The sequence below is a fragment of the Homo sapiens genome, chromosome 1 (genome assembly GCF_000001405.40).
Source record: "Homo sapiens chromosome 1, GRCh38.p14 Primary Assembly".
NCBI lineage: Eukaryota > Metazoa > Chordata > Mammalia > Primates > Hominidae > Homo > Homo sapiens.
In genome coordinates this window covers 52,617,148-52,636,007 of record NC_000001.11, presented here as the reverse complement: position 1 = coordinate 52,636,007, position 18,860 = coordinate 52,617,148, and the positions used below count along the sequence as shown (strand labels likewise).

The 18,860-nt window shown below is 45.6% G+C and overlaps 1 protein-coding gene and 1 long non-coding RNA gene across 14 annotated transcripts in view, besides 3 other annotated features; one reads left to right on the top strand and one right to left on the bottom strand.

Moving 5' to 3' along the window:
• SHISAL2A (shisa like 2A) overlaps positions 1-3,220 on the bottom strand; it is a 36,896-nt gene extending 33,676 nt beyond the window's left edge. For 6 of the 11 annotated variants that reach the window (NR_135156.2, XR_946637.2, XR_946639.3 and 3 more), the window contains exon 1: positions 2,333-2,840. Coding sequence is in view for 3 of the 11 variants with exons in the window: in NM_001042693.3 (NP_001036158.1) it covers positions 2,333-2,514 (182 nt within the window). In the remaining 8 variants the exon portion in view is untranslated. Of the gene's footprint in view, positions 1-2,332; positions 2,841-2,968 lie in introns of those variants that run through there. The other 5 variants (XR_946635.3, XR_007059587.1, XR_946636.3 and 2 more) reach the window with 1 other exon arrangement.
• Positions 2,513-2,562: a silencer, noted in NCBI's record as "silent region_896". NCBI's record gives its function as "represses an Ori minimal core promoter by ATAC-STARR-seq in GM12878 lymphoblastoid cells {active_cell/tissue: GM12878}" and the evidence as "EXISTENCE:reporter gene assay evidence [ECO:0000049][PMID:35858748]".
• On the top strand, positions 2,553-7,287 carry LOC124904178 (uncharacterized). 3 transcript variants are annotated; one of them, XR_007066084.1, is made up of 2 exons: positions 2,553-2,700; positions 6,754-7,287. It is a non-coding gene; the product is annotated as an uncharacterized LOC124904178 (long non-coding RNA). The 3 variants fall into 3 exon arrangements; XR_007066086.1 differs by lacking the exon at positions 2,553-2,700 and adding an exon at positions 3,058-3,133; XR_007066085.1 differs by lacking the exon at positions 2,553-2,700 and adding an exon at positions 4,787-5,369.
• Positions 2,573-2,762: a silencer, noted in NCBI's record as "silent region_895". NCBI's record gives its function as "represses an Ori minimal core promoter by ATAC-STARR-seq in GM12878 lymphoblastoid cells {active_cell/tissue: GM12878}" and the evidence as "EXISTENCE:reporter gene assay evidence [ECO:0000049][PMID:35858748]".
• Positions 2,853-2,962: a silencer, noted in NCBI's record as "silent region_894". NCBI's record gives its function as "represses an Ori minimal core promoter by ATAC-STARR-seq in GM12878 lymphoblastoid cells {active_cell/tissue: GM12878}" and the evidence as "EXISTENCE:reporter gene assay evidence [ECO:0000049][PMID:35858748]".
• Positions 7,288-18,860: the final 11,573 nt, after the last annotated feature.

The window sequence follows — 18,860 nt, the reverse complement described above, 5'->3', positions numbered from 1 at the left end:
TGTTTCACTTTAGGTGAATGTTGTGAAAGTGCCCTAGTGAATATTATCACAGTAAGAGAAATCTGATACAGAAAAATTATCACAGTGAGAGAAATCTGACATAGCTGACTCCATCTTGTGTCTAACTTTACGAGCTGTCTTTCTTCATTCCTGGGCACAGGCCAAGTTAACTATAAGAGGAATTTAGTTTATAGTTTAACTTTAAAACAAAGATGATAACAGCCCCTTCCTAAAACTAACACCCTCCTTGCTCAGGGACTGCAACTGCCTTTGTTAAACTAACAAATTAACCACAAGGTTAGAATTATGGTTCAGGAGTCGTGTAGCTGGAGGTCACATGATTTGTAATCTCCTCAACTCCTCCTATAGGAGGAGTTGTAAAACCTAAAACTGGTGTTTGAGGTATCTTTCAGACCTTTCATTTTGATAGACCAGTTGGTGCCACCTGGACCAGTAACCCATACCAATAAACTGGCTCAACTGGTCTTGTGAGCTCCCCTACCCAGCAACTGACTCAGTGCAAGAAGGTAGCTTTGATCCCCTACGATTTTATCCCTAACCCAACCAATTGGCATTCCCTATTCCCTAGCCCCATCTGCCACCATTCCTTGAGAAACCATAGTCTCCGAATTCTCTGGTGGGGTGGGGGGTGGGGAATGAGGGTGTGGATTTGAGAATTATGTCCTATTTTGCCACTTGGTTGGCCCTGTGATTATTAAACTCTTTCTTTGCTGCAAAACCTGTTGTTCTCAGTGCATTGGTTTTTTTGGGCAGCAAGCAAAATGAACTTGTCAAGTGAATACCATTGTATCTCTAAATAAACTGTGAGTTCCTCAGGGGCAGGGAATAATTGATTTTTGTGTCTCCAATACCTTGCAAAGTGCCTGGCACAAAGTAAAGGCTAGAATGAATGAATGAATGAATGAATATATGGATGAACAGAAAATACATTAATATAATTCCCTGGGTTATAGATAGCACAAATATGTAGGATCTGATAACCTGGCCATCTGAAAATCATTTAGAATTGTGGATCGAGTCACCTAGAAAAAGCAATAATATTTGTAATTGTCATTGGCATATGTCAAGTTGATTTCAGCTCTGTTATGTATGTCATTTGACCGTTACCACTGCCTTAGTCAGAAATCAGGGCAATGATTGATCATCCTACTGCCCGTTTGATAGATGAAAAGCCAGAGACTTGAGAAGTTTTCGTGGCATAGGACACTGTCCTTTCCCACCCAGAGGGCAGCAGCCTCTGCTCATATACCTCCAGGGACAGGAAAATCACTAACTACTGAGATGGCCCACTCAATTTTTGCTGATGCCTGTTTCCCAAAGTAGGCTGAGGATCAAGTTCCATTCTCCAGGTAAGGCCTTTGGAGACCCAGGGGGATTGAGACCTATTACCCTCTCAAGCCAACACTTAGGCTCCAGGAATGCAACCTCTTCCCTGAACAAATGGGGAAACTGAGGTCCTATGGGTGGAGAGTCAACACTTCTATGAATATGGCCTGAGCTAGCTTCTGCACTATGCCATTGTCTCATGATGAACTTGGAGGCAGCTCTGACTCCCGAGTCTTCTGCCTTAGCTTGAGGATGGGGTACATCCCCAGCACTCACCACAGGGCTTGGCACACACCAAGTGCTCAGTAGAGAGTGCCCGAAAGAATGACTAAATACAAAAGGGAACCAAGGGTTGACGCTGGGCTGAGGCTGGGGTTGGGGTGTAGCACCAGGCGAGGGTTAAGTCTGGAGGTTGAGGTTTGGATGTAGATCTAGATATTAATAATATTTGGAGTCAGGATGTGGGAGAAGAGCTGAGGTGGGACTGCAGGCAGGACAGAAGAGGAGGTTGGGGCTGGTGATAGAATAAGGTCTGGGGTCAGTACTGGGGAGTGTGGAAAGTCAGGAATAAGGCTGGTGTTGATATTAGGAAGGGCACCTTGGTGGGATGATGATTGGGGTGGAGTTGGGCTGCCTGTGAATGTTTGAAGATGGAAGTTGCTGTTAGGGGGAGGCTTGATATGTGATTTGGGGTTGGGATGAGGGTGGTGATGGAATGAAGTTTGGGGTGGGGATAGAGTGAGGATTGTTTTGGATTAGAGGAGGGGGAGGTCCGAGCATGGCTCTAAATAATGGTTGGGGTCAGGATGAGGAAATCGAGCTGAGATGGGGTTTCACGGGGTGGTTGATGCTGTGGGCATGAGGACGGTAAGGACTAGAGCTTGCTGCTGATGTTCAGGTGGACACTCGGGTGGGGGCTGAGGCTGGGGTGAAGGCGCTGAGACTGGAGTGGGGTTCAAGGTAGGGTGAGGGCCAGGGACGGTACCTGAGCCACCACATGTAGCTGTGCTCGTAGGGGAAGAAGCTGTGCGGGTCGTCGCAGCAGTACTTGTGGTCGCGGAAGCCGCAGCAGAAGACAGCGGCCGCCTCGCCCCCCGGCCGCGGGCAGCTGAAGCCGCGCACCACCTCCTGCTCTGCGCTCACGTAGCTCGTGCAGGCGCCGCTCATCGCGCCCCGCGCCCAGCCCGCCGCCACCTCGGGCCACCAGACGGCCGGCTAGAGCCCGGCGGGGAAGCGAGGGACCGAGCGAGACGGAGCTGAGCCTGAGAACGGCAGAGACGAAGAGACCCAGGGGCCGAGAGAAGCCGAGACAGAGACAGCAGCGCGGGGCCCCGAGGACCGAGCGGCGGCCAGGTGCCCGGCCCGCGCGGAGGGGTAGGGGCAGGCGGGGCGGGCGGCGGGGGCCGGCGGCGGGAGTGACGGCTGCTGGAACGCGGCAGGAGCCGGAGCGGACGCGGGGAGCTGGGCCGGGAGCCGCGTGCTCGCCTGGCTCTGCCTGCGCTTCCTGCCCCCTCCCCACTGCGCTCCCCCTGCCTGCACGAGGGCGCTGGGTGCGCAACGACAGCACGACGCGGCCAGAGTGGCGGGGCGGGAATTCGAGGCCAGGGCGCGGGCGCCTTACCTGCACCGAGCCGGCGCCGGGAGTCTCGGGGCATTCGGGGCTGGGGCAGACAGACAAGGCACCAGCCGGCGACCACACGGCGGGGTCAGTGAGGAGAGTGAACACAACCTCACCCAACCTCCGCAAAAACCCAGGGGCCCGGGGATGTTCGCATCCGTGTTAAAGGTGAGAGCTGAGGGCCAGAGAGAAGCCATTTCCCGGAGTTCCTAAGCCCACGAGATTTTAACCGGGGGCGGCCTAGTAGGAAGTCCTTGCTCTTTCTGCGGCTTTCATGGTGCCTCTTTTCTAGCGGGCTTTTAGATGTCCTCATCATCTGGAGTCCCTGCTAGTCTCGCTGAGAGCTAGCTCGTGCACGGACAATGTCCACACTCTTCTGTTCATACTGCCTGCCACTGGCCTGGGACAAGGAGCCGAATATGGGTGTGGATGGGCCCAGACGGTAACCTCCTTCCCCACACTGACCAGCAAAGAAAGTCAGCAGACCTGTCCATTTTGAAAAATTACTTCCAGAGAACAAGGGCAGTGTTCTCACTAGCATCAGAGAACCACAGTCTGAAGGGGCTCTCAGTGCCTTGGCTTCCCCCATGTACCCTGTTGCCTTACGCCATCTGGAAGGGCTTCATACAGCACCTTCAGTGCCTTAGCTCTACATTTTTCACAGCAGTGGGTAGGGTAGGAAATAGTTACTGTGGTGCCTCGGGCACCCCCGATTCCTTCGCCCTTGGTTTGGACGTGTGGGGAACGGGCCGTGGGTATCAGGGGATCTGGGCTCCAGCCCAGCTCTACCCCTTCCCTGCTGTTTCTCTCTGAGCTTTGGGTTCCTTGTCCTCACCCAGGCCAGCTCCTCAGATGCTGATTGTGCCGCTGCCCTGACCTGGGTGGGCCCTAGGGCCCCTGAGAGGGATCAGATCTGGGCCTGCCGTTGAGAAACACACAGTCTGATGGAGGAGTCAGACTGACTGACGATCACAGCACAGGGCAGTAAAAAGGGAAATGCAAGGACCTGGACACAGAGGGGCACCATCTGAGGAAGCAGGGGAGGGCTCTGAGGGAGGCGGTGTCCTCAAGAGTCACTGTAAGGTCAAATATGAAAGCTGGAGGGAACTGTTATTATCCTCCAGAACATTCCTCCCCTGAGCTGTGGGTCTGAGCAGACTGGGAGCTGGAGAGCCTACACTAATGAGGGTGCACTTCAGCCTCTTTATCAGATGGAGAGTACAGGGGAGGAATCCTCTGGGAGGGAGAGGCTTCCTGGAGGCCTGGAGATCAGCTGGGAGGAAGAAAGCGCTCTGCCCTGGCTTTTGGCAAAACTAGAAAGCCTCCAACAATTTCCAAAACCCTCTCCCAGCCAAGAATTAATTTGTTCCTCCCAACAGCCCTCTGGGGTGAGCCACGCAGGGGTGAATGTGCCTGAAATAACAAGTCCAATACCACACAGCGATCAATGGCCCAGGCAGGGCTGATACCCATGTCTGTCTCCATGTCCCCCTTGGCAGTCTGATGAAGCCTATGAACCCCTATTCAGAATAGTGGGTTTTTTTTTGTTTTTGTTTTTTGTGTTTTGTTTTGAGATGGAGTCTCACTTTGTCATCCAGGCTGGAATCTCGGCTCACTGCAACCTCTGTCTCCAGGGTTCAAGTGATTCTCCTGCCTCAGCCTCCCAAGCAGCTGGGATTACAGGCATGCGTCACCACGCCTGGCTAATTTTTGTATTTTCAGTAGAGACAGGGTTTCACCATGTTGCCCAGGCTGGTCTTGAACTCCTGACCTCAAGTGATCCACCCACCTCAGCCTCCCAAAGTGCTGGGATTACAGGTGTGAGCCACCGCACCAGGCCACAAATAATGTTTTTAACTAAAAAAAAAAATTATTTAGGGTTACAGAGGATACCAATTATATTGAATCATGATTTGTCCTACTTTTTAAAAAGTGTCAATAAGATCTAGAGATGAGTCTATTAATTACTATAATTTTGAAGTGGTGAATGAAAATAACTAGTATTTCAATATGTCTCTACTGTAATACAATATGAAAATATCTGTGATTTCTATTGGTGACAAAGTCACAAGCACTACTAATACTATCGTGGGTTTTCTTACCAATATGCATGATGAAAGAAAATACTGAATTTCAGTTAGAGGTAATGCATACCAAGGATGTGATTTTTCCCACGTAAATTCATGAACCTTCTACACTCTATCCAGAGGCTCCTTGGGCTCCATGGACTCTATGTGAACATCCTCTCATGTCTCTGTTCTAGCTCCTACTTTAATGCTTTTTCCTTCATTATATGCATTGTGTTCCTTCATTCTGTTCTCCTGCAGACACTTATTACAGAGCTATGATGTGCCAGGCAATACCCATCCTGTATGTCATGTAGTCCTTGAAAACTTCCTTTGAGGTAGGTGTTAGTCTTCCCATTTTGCAGACAAGGTAACTGAGAGAGAGGTTAAATAATTTACCCAAAGCCACATAGCCAGTAACTGATCAGAGTCCTGTACCGCCTCTTCCTCCCTTCCCAAATGAGGCCTGGGGCCAGAGTCCCCAACTCCAGAAGGGAAAAAAGGCATAGGAGGGAAGCGTGGGCAGGGAGAAATATTTATGGAGAACACACTGTGAATGGGAAATTGTGCTCTGTGCTTTTCATTATCTATCTTTACACCAACTATGTGTAGTATTACTTTCTTCATTAAGAAAAATTAAAAATAGGCCAGGTGCAGCAGTTCATGCCTGTAATCCCAGAACTTTGGGAGTCTGAGTCAGGAGGATTGCTTGAGCCCAGGAGTTTAAAATCAGCCTGGGCATGGTGGCATGCACCCGTAGTCCTAGCTACTTGGGAGGCTGAGGCAGGAGGATCACCTGAGCCCAGGAGTTTGAGGCAGCAGTGAGCTGTGATGGTGCCATTGCACTCCAGCTTGGGTGACAGAGTGAGAAGACACCCTGTCTCTAAAAAAAAAAAAAAAAGAAATAAAAAGAAAAAATAACAAAATGCATATTCGTTATAAAACAACAAATTAGAAAATACAGATAAGCCAAAAGGAAAAATAAAAATCACCCATAATTTCACCACACAAAAATATCTATCATACACCCCCAAACCCTGCCCCCATGCACACAATTATGCGCCCATTTTATGGGTAGGAAAACTGAGACCCAGAGAGGTTAAGTAACTTGCTCAGGGATCTACAAGTCAGAAGTTCCAGTCACCTTCTGTGTGAACTTAGGCTGGTCATGGTCACTTTCCCTCTCTGCATATAGGGCACTAGCTAAGATTACTCCAGATGGAGGATCCTAAAGTCTGGTACTGGGCCAGCCTTAACAGGACCCCTTTCTGCAGGGTACACAAAACAGTGCCCTCAAGACCTTGGCAGCTTTTGCTCCAGGAGCCGAGTTCTCTCAGAGAGGGTCGGGAAAGAAATGTCCCCTCGCTATGGTCTGCTGCACAGCCCAGTGACCACAATCCCGGGGACAACCCCTGGCTGGAAGAGCCAGTTCTGCTCGTGTCACATGGCAACCAATGGCCCAGGCGGAACTAGTACCCTGGCTGTGTGTGTGGTCCCTGGCCTCTGGCCCTGGCAGAGTGAAAGCAGCCCCTCCTCTTCTCCTCCTGCCCTGGCTGCACTGGCCTGAGAGTGTGTACATGGCCACCGAGCTTCCCCCTGGCCAGGATCGGGTACCAGTTTGCAGTACCAGCTTCTGCAGCTGGAGAAGCAAAGAAAGGATGCAACATGCATCAAATCCCTCTGAGTGCCTGGTCAGGAAGGATGTTTTCTCTTTTCTTCCAGAATGAGGCTCTTGTGTCTTGATCAGAGAGAAGCGACCTACACGGTTGGACAGCAAATCCAGGAACAAACCAGTGGCCCACATACCAGCCAGGCTCTTCCTCACTCTTTGTGGCCACACTTTCTGTTTAGGTCTTCGTTGGTTTGCTGTCTGTTTGTTTTACTAGGCGATCTTTCAGACACACAAAGCGACATGAAGAATAATACAGGGACCACCCACATAGTTTACAAAATAAAAAAATTGGCTGACTCTGGGTTCACTGCTTGGGAGTTAGCCCTGCTCTGAAAGGAACAGCTTAAAAAATAAAAAAGTAAATAAAATAAAATGTAAAAAAAAAAAATTTGATCCGGTTTGAAGTCCCTTGCATACTCCTCCCTCCTCCCCAAGAGGTACTACACTCCTGAATTTGGTATTTATTATTCCCATATTCTTATTTATGCTCACATATGCATGGATCTTTGAGCAATGTGTGGAATTGCTTTGCATGTAATTAAATTTTAAATAAATAGCATCATGCTGCATGTATTCTCCTGGAACCTGCTTTTTCACTCAGGCTTCTGTTTGCGAGCTTTGTCTATACTGATGTGTATACTCTATTTAGCTTATTCATTGTGCTATATCGTTCAGTTATCAAATATGTGGTGATTTATTATCCATTCTCTTGGACATTTAGGTTTCTTCCAATTTTTTATTGCTATTTCAAACAATGATACTTTTTTGAGTTTTTTTTTTTCTTTTAAAATCAACTTACCGGCTGGGTGTGGTGGCTCATGCCTGTAATCCCAGCACATTGGGAGGCAGAGGCAGGTGGATCACCTGAGGTCAGGAGTTTGAGACCAGCCTGGCCAACATGGTGAAACCCCGTCTCTACTAAAAATACAAAAATTAGTCGGGCATGGTGGCGGGTGCCTGTAATCCCAGCTACTTGGGAGGCTGAGGCAAGAGAATTGCTTGAACCCCAGAGGCGGAGGTTGCAGTGAGCCGAGATTGCGCCACTGCACTCCAGCCTGGGCACAGAGTGAGATTCTGTCTCAAAAAAATAAGTAAATATAATAAAATCAACATACCAGCCTGGGCAACAAAGTGCGATCCCATCCCTAAAAACAAAGAAAAGAATTAGCGGGGCATGGTGGTATGTGCTTGTAGTCCCAGCTACGCGGGAGGCTGATGTGTGAGGATTGCTTGAGACTGGGAGGTCAAGACTGAAGTGAGCTGTGATTGCGCCACTGCACTCCAGCCTGGGTGACAGAGCGAGACTCTACCTTGAAAACAAAAATCAACTTTATTGAGGTCTATTTTACAAACCATAGAATATGCTTAAGTGTACAGCTTGGTGAGTTTTGACAAACATGTATATCCATGAAACCAACACCACAGTCAAAATACAGCAGTTTTCCATCACGTATCTCCGCCTACTGTGCCCGTTTGCAACCAGCTCTCTTCTCTCCGAGCCTTGCCTTAGGTACCACTGCTCTGCTCTCTGTCCATATAGATTAGTTCTGCCTTTTCTTGAATTGCATACTAATGAAATCAAATTGCATGTCCTTCTTTGGGTCTTACTTCTTTTTGCTCATCACAACATCCTTGAGATACACAGAAACTGTTTTATGTACAAGTAGTTCCTTCCTCTTTATTGCTAAGTAATACTGTATTATATAGAAATACTACAGTTTGTGCATTCAACTGTTAATGGGCATTTGGGTTGTTTCTAGTTTGGGGCTATTATGGATAAAGTTGCTATAAACATTTTTGCAAATATGCTTTGTTTTGGGACATGTGTTTACATTTCTCCTAGCTGGATACCTAGGAGTGGAATTTCTGAATTATAGGGTAGATATATGTTTAACTTTATAAGAAATTGCCAAGCCTGGGCAACACAACATGACCCCATCTCTACCCAAAAAAAAAAAAAAAAAAAAAATTAGCTAGGCATGGTAGCGCAGGCCTATAGTCCTAGCTATTCAGGAGGCAGAGGCAAGAGAATCACTTGAGCCTGGGAGTTCAAGGCTGCAGTGAGCTGATTGTGCCACACTGCACTCCAGCCTGCGCAACAGCCCTATTGAGAAAGAAAGAACAAAAGAGAGAAAGAGAGAAAGAAAGAGGAGGGGAGGGGAGGGGAAAGAGAGAGAAATTGCAGAAATGTTTTCACTAGCACTTAATATTGTCAATATTTTCTACTTTAGCATTCTTACAGGTGTAAAGTGTTTTCTCATTGTGGCTTTAATTTGTATTTCCTTAACGGCTAAGATAAAAGACTTTTTTTTTTTTTTTTTTTTTTAAGAAAGGGTCTCAACTGCCTCACCCTTTTGCCCGGGCTAGAGGGCAGTGGTATAATCTCGGCTCACTGCAGTCTCCGCTTCCCAGGTTCAAGTGATCCTCCCACCTCAGCCTCCCGAGTAGTTTAGCTGGGACTACAGGTACATGCAGCCACATCCGGCTGATATTTGTATTTTTTGGTAGAGAGGTTTCACCTTGTTGGGCAGGCTGGTCTTGAACACCCCACCTCAATTGATCTGCCTGCCTCAGCCTCCCAGAGGCCTGGGATTACAGGCGTGAGCCACCGTGCGGGGCCAACTAATGATAAAGATCTTTTCATGAACTCATTAGCTATTCAGATATAGTCACAGTTCAGAAATACTGCACGTTCAGTTCCAGACCACCACAATAAAGTGAATATCACAATAAAACAAGTCACAGAAAACTTTTGGTTTTGCAGTGCAAACGAAAGTTACTTTGCCAAGATCCATCAGTGGAATCATTATCTATGGCAGCTATAGCCTTAGGAAATGTATTTATTCAATAATATGACTTAAAAGTCAAAATTACTCCTTGATCTATGGGCTGCAGAATGGATGTTATATTAGCAGACATTAAAACAACATTAACCTCCTTCTTTGTACATCTCCATCAGAGCCATTGGTTGACTAGGTACATTGTCATTGAGCAGTAATATTTTGAAGGGAATCTTTTTTCTGTGCACTAGGTCTAAATAGTGGGCTTAGAATTCAGTAAACCATGCTATAAACAAATGTGCTGTCATCCAGGCTTTGTTGTTCCATTTATACAGCACAGGCAGAGTAGATTGAGCATAATTCTTTTTTTTTTTTTTTTTTTTTTTTGAGATGGAGTCTCGCTCTGTCGCCCAGGCTGGAGTGCAGTGGCACAGTCTCGGCTCACTACAACCTCAGCCTCCTGGGTTCAAGTGATTCTCCCGCCTCAGCCTCCCAAGTAGCTGGGACTACAGGCACATGCCACAATGCCTGGCTAATTTTTGTATTTTTAGTAGAGATGTGGCTTCACTATGTTGGCCAGGCTGGTCTCAAACTCCTGACGTCAGGTGATCCACCTGCCTCGGCCTTCCAAAGTGCTAGAATTACAGGCGTGAGCCACCATGCCTGGCCAGATTGAGCATAAATTCTTAACAGCCCTAGGATTTTCTGAGTGGTAAAGAGGCATTGGCTTCAGGCTGGGCATGGTGGCTCATGCTTGTAATCCCAGAACTTTGGGAGGCCAAGTCAGGTGGATTGATTGAGCTCAGGAGTTTGAGAGCAGCCTGGCCAACATGGCAAAACCCTGTCTCTACAAAAAATACAAAAATTAGCTGGGCATGGTGGCGTGCACCTGTAGTCCCAGCTACTTGGGAGGCTGAGGGAAGGATTGCTTGAATCCAGGAGGCAAAGATTGCAGTGAGCTGAGATTGCGCCACTGCACTCCAGCCTGGGTGACAGAGTGAGATCCTTTCTCAAAAAAAAAAAAAAAAAAAAAAGGAAGAAAGAAAGAAAAAAAAACTGGCAGTCACAAGCTACATTAACCCCTAATAAAAGAGAGTCAGCCTGTCCTTTGGATTTGAAGCCAGGCATTGACTTCTCCTCTCTATCTATGAAAGTCCTAGATGGCATCTTCTGATAAAAGGCTGTTTTGTCTACATTGAAAATCTGTTGTTTGGTGTAGCTGCCTTCATCAATTATCTCAGCTAGAACTTCTGGGTAACTTGCTATAGCTTCTGCATCAGACTTTGCTGCATCACCTCACACTTTTATGTTATGAAAACAACTTATTTCCTTGCTTTTTTTTTTTTTTTTTTTTTTTTTTTGAGACGGAGTCTTGCTCTGTCTACCAGGCTGGAATGCAGAGACGTGATCTCGGCTCACTGCAACCTCTGTCTCCCTGGTTCAAGTGATTCTTCTGCCTCAGTCTCCCAAGTAGCTAGGACTACAGGCGTGCACCACAACCCCTGGCTAATTTTTGTATTTTTAGTATAGACGGTGTTTCACCATGTTGGTCAGGCTGGTCTCAAACTCCTGACCTCGTGATCCACCCAACTTGGCCTCCCAAAGTGCTGGGATTACAGGCGTGAACCACTGCACCCAGCCCACTTTTTTGTTTTATTTTATTATTATTATTATTAATTTTTGAGACAGGGTCTTGGTCTGTTGCCCAGACTGGAGTGCAGTGGCATGATCTTAGCTCACTATAATCTCAACCTCCCAGGCTCAAGTGATCCTCCCATCTCAGCCTCCCAAGTAGTTGGGACTACAGGTGTGCCCCACCATGTGTGGGTAACTTTGAATAATTATAATAATTATTATTTTTTGAGACAGAGTCTCGCTTTGTCATCCAGGCTGGAGTGCAGTGGTGCAATCTTGGCTCACTGCAACCTCTGCCTCCCAGGTTCAAGTGATTCTCCTGCCTCAACTTCTCAAGTAGCTGGGATTACAGGTTCTCACCACCATGCCTGGCTAATTTTTGTATTTTTAGTCTTGTTCTGTCTCCCAGGCTGGAGTGCAGTGGTGTGATCTTGGCTCACTGCAACCCCTGCCTCCAAAGTTCAAGTGATTGTTGTGCCTCAGCCTCCCAAGTACCTGGGACTACAGGTATACACCACCATGCCTGGTTAATTTTTTTGTATTTTTATTAGAGATGAGGTTTTGCCATGTTGGCCAGGCTGGTCTCAAACTCCTGACCTCAGGTAATCTGCCCACCTCAGCCTCCCAGCATGCTGGGATTACAAGCATGAGCCACCCACCTGGCCTTGAGTTGATTTTTGAATATGGTGTAAGACCAATTCATTCTTCTGCAAGTGAATATCCAGTTTTTCCAACACCGTTTATTGAAGAGGCTTTCCTTTTCCTATTGTGTGGTTCTGTCTCCTTTGTTAAAAATCAATAGGATGAAAATGTGTGCATTCATTTCTTGGCTTTCTGTTTGGTTCTGTTGGTCAATATGTCTATTTTTATACCACTACCATGCAGTTTTAATTATTATAGCTTTGTAATATAGCAAGAAGTCAGGTAGTGCGATGCCACCAGCTTTATTCTTTTTGCTCAAGATTGCCTTGGCTGGTCAGAGTTTTTCTGTGGTTCCAAATACGTTTTAGAACTTTTTTCTATATCTGTGAAAAATGACATTTTAATTTTAATAGGGATTACATTGAATCTATAGGTTTATCTTCTTATTGAGTTATAACTGTTCTTAAATATTCTAGATGCAAATCTCATTATCAAATATATTATTGTAAATCATTTTTTCCAGTTTGTGGGCTTGCCTTTTTCTTTTCTTTTCTTTTCTTTTTGAGACAGAGTCTCGCTCTGTTGCCCAGGCTGGAGTGCAGCGGTGCGATCTCCGCTCACTGCAAGCTCCGCCTCCTGGGTTCATGCCATTCTCCTGCCTCAGCCTCCCGAGTAGCTGGGACTACAGGCGCCCACCACCATGCCCGGCTAATTTTTTTTGTATTTTTTTAATAGAGACGGGGTTTCACCGTGTTAGCCAGGATGGTCTCGATCTCCTGACCTCGTGATCCACCTGCCTTGGTCTCCCAAAGTGCTGGGATTACAGGCGTGAACCACTGTGCCTGGCCTTATTTTCTTTTTTTTAAAAAGTGTCTTGTTAAAAGAAAAATTTTTAATTGTGCTAAAGTCTTCTTTATCACCTTTTTCTATTAAAGTCAGAGCTTTTGTGTCTGTTTAAAAAGAAATCTTTGCCTACTCTAAGATTACAAAGATTTCCTTCTGTGTTTTCTTCTGGAATATTTATAGCTTTAGATTTTGCATGTATGTCTTTGGTCCATTTTGAGTTAATTTTTGTGTACGGTGTAAAACAAAGGTCAAAGTTCACTTTTGGCACATGGATATCCAGTTGTTGCGGAACCATTCTCTGAAAAGACTAGCCTTTCCTCATTGAAATAACTTGACAACTTTGTCAAAAATCAACAATACCTGTCGGATTCTGGATTTTCTATTCCATTTTATTAATCTTTTTTTTTTTTGAGATGGAGTCTCACTCTGTCACCCAGGCTGGAGTGCAGTGGCACTATCTTGGCTCACTGCAAGCTCCGCCTCCCTGGTTCATGCCATTCTCCTGCCTCAGCCTCCCAAGTAACTGGGACTACAGGTGCCTGCCACCATGCCTGGCTATTTTTTTCTATTTTTTAGTAGAGATGGGGTTTCACCATGTTAGCCAGGATGGTCTCAATCTCCTGACCTCGTGATCTGCCCGCCTTGGCCTCCCAAAGTGCTGGGAGTACAGGCATTTCATTAATCTTTGTCTGTCCTTCTATCCATGAGCCAATACCACTCTGTCTTAATTACTGTGGCTTTACAAATAAATCTTGAGGCTGGGCATAATGGCTAATGCCTGTAATCCCATAACTTTGGGAGGCTGAGGCAGGTGGATCACCTGAGACCAGCCTGGCCAACATGGTGAAACCTCATCTCTACTAAAAAATAGAAAAATAGCCGGGCTTGGTGGTGCCCACCTGTAATCCCAGCTACTGGGGAGATTGAGGCAGGAGAATCACTTGAACCCAGGAGGCAGAGGCTGCAGCCAGCTGAGATTGGGCCACTGTACTCCAGCCTAAGTGACAGAGAGAGACTCCATCTAAAAAAAAAAAAAAAAAAAACTTTAAATCAGGTAGTATAAGTCCTCTAACTTTGCCCTTATTTTTCAAAGTTGTTTTTGTGGTTCTAGGGCCTTTGCATTTCCATATAAATTTTAGAATTAGTTTGTCAAATACAGAAATACTTGCTGGGATTTTGCTTGGGATTGCATTGAATCAATAGATAAATTTGGAGAGTGTTAACATCTTAATATTGAGTTTCCCAATCCATGAACATGGTATATCTCTTTTTTCTTTCTTTCTTTCTTTTTTTTTTTTTTTTGACAGAGTCTCACTCTGTCACCCTGGCTAGAGTGCAGTGGCATGATTTCGGCTCACTGCAACCTCTGCCTCCTGGGTTTGAACTAGTCTCCTGCCTCAGCCTCCCACGTAACTGAGATTACAGGTGGATACCACCACACATGACTAATTTTTTTGTATTTTTGGTAGAGACGGGATTTTGCCATGTTGGCCCAGTTGGTCTTGAAATTCTGACCTCAGGTGATCTACCCACCTTGGCCTCCCAAAGAGCTGGGATTACAGACGTGAGCCACCGCACCTGGCCTGTCTCTTTATTTATTTAGTTCTTTAATTTACCTCAACAATATTTTATATTCGGTGTATAGGACTTACAGTATTTTGTAAAATGTGTCCCTTTTTCTTATTTTTGGTACTTTTCTAAATGGCGTTTCTTTTTTTATTTTTTTTTATTTTTTATTTTTTTTGAGACAGAGTCTCTCTCTGTCGCCCAAGCTGGAGTGCGGTAGCACGATCTCAACCCATTGCAACCTCCACCTCTTGGGTTCAAGCGATTCTCCCAACTCACCCTTCTGAGTAGCTGGGATTACAGGCATGCACCACCACAACACCCGGCTAACTTTTTGTATTTTTAGTAAAGACAGGGTTTCGCCATGTTGGCCAGGCTGGTCTTAAACTTCCAACCCCAAGTGATCTGCCTGCCTCAGCCTCCCGAAGTGCTAGGATTACAGGCGTGAGCCACTGTGCCCAGCCTTGAAATGGCATTTTAATGTCATTTTCTAATTGTTTGTTCCTAATATATATAAATACAGTTTACTTTTGTATATTCACCTTGTATCTTGTCATCTTGATAAATTCACTTATTAGTTCTAGTAGCTTCATTGTAGATTACTTAGAATTTTTTATGTACATGATTGTGTTGTCTGTGAATAAAGGCAGTTTTACTTTTACTTTTCAGGAGGTGCCTTTTATTTATTATTCTTGCATTATTACATTGTCCAATATAATGATGAAGAGAATTCTTTTGATTTTGGAGGTAAAATTGTGCTATTGTTTTTTCTCTGGACAATTGTGTGTTTTTACCACTTGATTCTTTCCCACCACATATTTGTCAACAGAGAGCTCTTCAGAAGACTTGATCAGAGCTTTTGAAGTAGCCCCAATTACTCCAGTCTGACCTCTAAAATCTGAACTCTCCCTATTTCTCCAATATTCCCACCTCATCTTTCCTACAGGAAGCCTCTGATTCAGCTAGTCTGACTGGGGAAAGGAGCCTTCTTTCGTAGGTTTTTGTCCACGTGATATTCCCTCCTTCTGCTTACTTAAATCATCTCCCATTCTTCAATGCCTGGCTTGAAGAAACCCCTCTTGCAGCAAGCTCTTCTGTGGCCAACTTTCAGCACATCATTCTTTCTTTCAGCATCTGCTGTCTTGACTATATGTATACCATTCATTGAGCACCATCTGTGTGCCATCACCTTACTTAAGAATCACAGCTTCAGACTCTGGCTTTCTCTAGAATAGAGAAATACAGCCAGGAATGGTAGAAATTGGGATTTGTCCTGGGGATGCCTGTCCCCAAAGTTCAAGGAGACACCGCCTCTGCCTACCTCCTTCTCTGATCTCAGCATGAGTTCAGCACTTGACACATTATTAAGCATTTATCATGTTCATGGTTCTTTTTCATCCTGATATCAGCCACTTCTGGAACTTACTCCAAGACTTTTGTACCTTGGGTGAATGGCCCTTTCCTAGAATCAGTGTCTTTAACTGCAAACCAGGGGTGTCCAATCTTTTGGCTTCCCTGGACCACATTGAAAGAAGAAGAATTGTCTTGGGCCACATATAAAATACACTAACACTAACAATAGCTGATGAGTTTTTGTTTGTTTGTTGTTTGTTTGTTTGTTGTTTGTTTGCTTGCTTGTTTTTGAGACGGAGTTTTGCTCTTGTTGCCCAGGCTATAGTGCAATGGTGCAATCTCGGCTCAACGCAACCTCCGCCTCCCAGGTTCAAGCAATTCTCCTGCCTCAGCCTTCCGAGTAGCTGGGATTACAGGCATGCGCCACCATGCCTGATTTTGCATTTTTATTTGAGATGGGGTTTCTCCATGTTGATCAGGCTGGTCTCGAACTCCTGACCTCAGTGATCCACCTGCCTTAGCCTCCCAAAGTGCTGGGATTGCAGGCCTGAGCCACCGTGCCCGGCCTTTTTTGTTTGTTTGTTTAAGCAAAAAAAAAAAAAAAAAATCATGTTTTAAGAAAGTTTACAAATTGTGTTGGGCTGCATTCAAAAGCCATCCTGGGCCGCACGTGGCCCATGGGCTACAGGTTTGACAAGCTTGCTGTAAACCCTCTCTCCCCTTGCTGGAGTGTTGTTACCAGAGTCCAGGAAACAAGGAATATAGGGAAAGGCAAGGACTTTAGGATCAGATCAGCCTGGATTCCAGTTGCTACTTGGCAACTGACTTGCTGGGTGATCTTGGACATCTCTCTCTGTCACTCAGGCTGAAATGCAGTGGTGCAATCATGGCTCACTATAGCCTCGACCTCCTGAGCTCAACCAGTCCTCCCACCACAGCTTCCCAAATAGCTGGAACTATAGGCACACGTCACCATGGCCAGCTGGAAAAAAAAATCTTTTTTTGAGACAGAGTATCGCTTTGTGGCCAAGGCTGGAGTGCAGTGGCAGGATCTCAGCTCACTGCAACCTCCGCCTCCTGGGTTCAAGCCATTCTTGTGCCTCAGCCTCCTGAGTAGCTAGGACTACAGGCACCCACCACCATGCCCAGCTATTTTTTTTTTTTTTTTTTTTTTTTTAAGTAGAGACAGGGTTTCACCATGTTGGCCAGGCTGGTCTCTGTCTCCTGGCCTGAAGTGATCTGCCCACCTCAGCCTCCCAAAGTGCTGGGATTACAGGTGTGAGCCATTGTGCCCAGCCTTTTTTTAAGTGTAGAGACAGAGTTTTGCCATGTTGCCTAGGCTGGTCTTGAACTCCTGAATTCAAGTGATCTTTCTGCCTTGGCTTCTCAAAGTGCTGGGATTATAGGTGTGAGCCACTGTACCCAGCCCAGATAATTTTTTGTTGTGGGAAGCAGTTCTCTGCATTGTAGCATGTTTAGCAGTATCTCTGGCCTTTGCCTATTAAATGCCAGTAACATCCACCGCCCAGTTGTAACAACAGAAAATGTCTTCAGATACTGCCAAATATCCCCCAAGAAATAAAATCACTCCCGGTGAAGAACCACTGCTCTGGCCGGATGCAGTGGCTCATGCCTGTAATTCTAGCACTTTGGGAGGCCGAGACGGGCGGATTACTTGAGGTCAGGGGTTCCAGACCAGCTGGCCAACAATGGCAAAACTCCATCTTTGCTGAAAATACAAAAATGAGCTGGGCATGATGGTGCAAGCCTGTAGTCCCAGCTACTTGGGTGGCTGAGGCAGGAGAATCACTTGAACCCAGGAGGCAGAGGTTGCAGTGAGCCAGGATTGTGCCACTGCACTCCAGCCTGGGAGACAGAGAAAGACTCTGTCTCAAAAGAAAACAACAACAACAACAAAAAAAGAACCACTGCTCTATAGTCTAGAGTCCTGGACAATGACATTCTTCCTCTACAATATGATGGAACTAAGGAAGCTTCTTTCCTGCTAAGGGGCAGTAAAAGAAAGAAACTGCAGACAGATATGATACTAACGGTAACACCATTTTACATTTGTTACAGCCTATTCCCACATACAAAGTGCCTTCTCAGACAGTATTTTGTCTGATTGTCCTAGGCAAGAGATCTCATAGAAGGAAGTGTCTACACAGTGCCTGGCATTTATTAGATAAAATCTCGGTTTCCTTTCATTGGCTAAATGAAGCAATGGATGTTCAATGAGGTTAAGTGACTGTCCCAAGGTTACACAGTGAGTAAGGGGGTATTGTCATTTGTTATGTTAATTCACCTGTTAGTTATTGTTCTCAACTCTTTTACTATAATCCTAAGAAGAGTTTCTGCTTTCACTGGAAGGAATAAGGCAAACTAGAAGAATCTTAGGAGCCAGGTGTGGTGGCATGCACCTGTAATCCCAGCTACTTGGGAGGCTGAGGCAGGAGGATCATTTTTGCCCAAGAGTTCTAATCCATCCTGGAAAACATAGTGAGACCCCCGTCTCTAAAAAACTAAGTAAATACAAATTTAAAAAAGAATCTTCGAATCTTTGTTTCCTGGAGTTGAGAGGGTTCTACAGGCTATCTAGTTCAATTCCCTACTACATGGTTCTCAACCCTACATTAGGGTTGCCAGATAAAATACAGGATGATCAGTTAAATTTGAATTTCAGATAAACAATGAATACTTTTAAAATATAAGTATTTCCCATGCAATCGTCATGAATACCAGGTCTCTTGTGGCCCTGGGACTCCCCTCTGGAGAATGATGAGTGGGGCTTGATTGGCCTTGTGATCAGAAGAGAGAGCTGATATTCTAAGGGATTAGGAAGAAGGGGCCTCTGCTTGGGCTTTTCCATCTCACTGAGAGTGGTCAACCCCCTCCCTGGGAGGAATTGAGTCTTTCATGGGGAACCTAGCTGGTACAAGAGTTCAGATAGTTCTTGGGACATTCAGAAACAGACATGGATGATGACAATAAGGTTAGTCAATCAGCAAATGCATGTTGAACACCTACTATGGGCCATGCACTTGCTAGGTTAAAGGAATACCCTGGAGATAAAACGCCCAGCAATTTCAAGGCAAGGAAAATAATTTCCACCTGTGCAATGGGAAGAAGGTGTAAAAGAGAGCACAGCAAGCAGTTTGGTGTTGGGAGCACACTGAAACAGACAGCTGATGTGTTCAGATTTGCTTTTTAGAACATTCAGCTTGCAAAGTGAAAGATGGATTGGAGGAGGGAGCTGGGGCCAAAGAGATAATCTAGAAGGATGATAAATCTCCATGTCTCCTTCAATCCCTACATCTTTTATTTTTTTTTTTTTA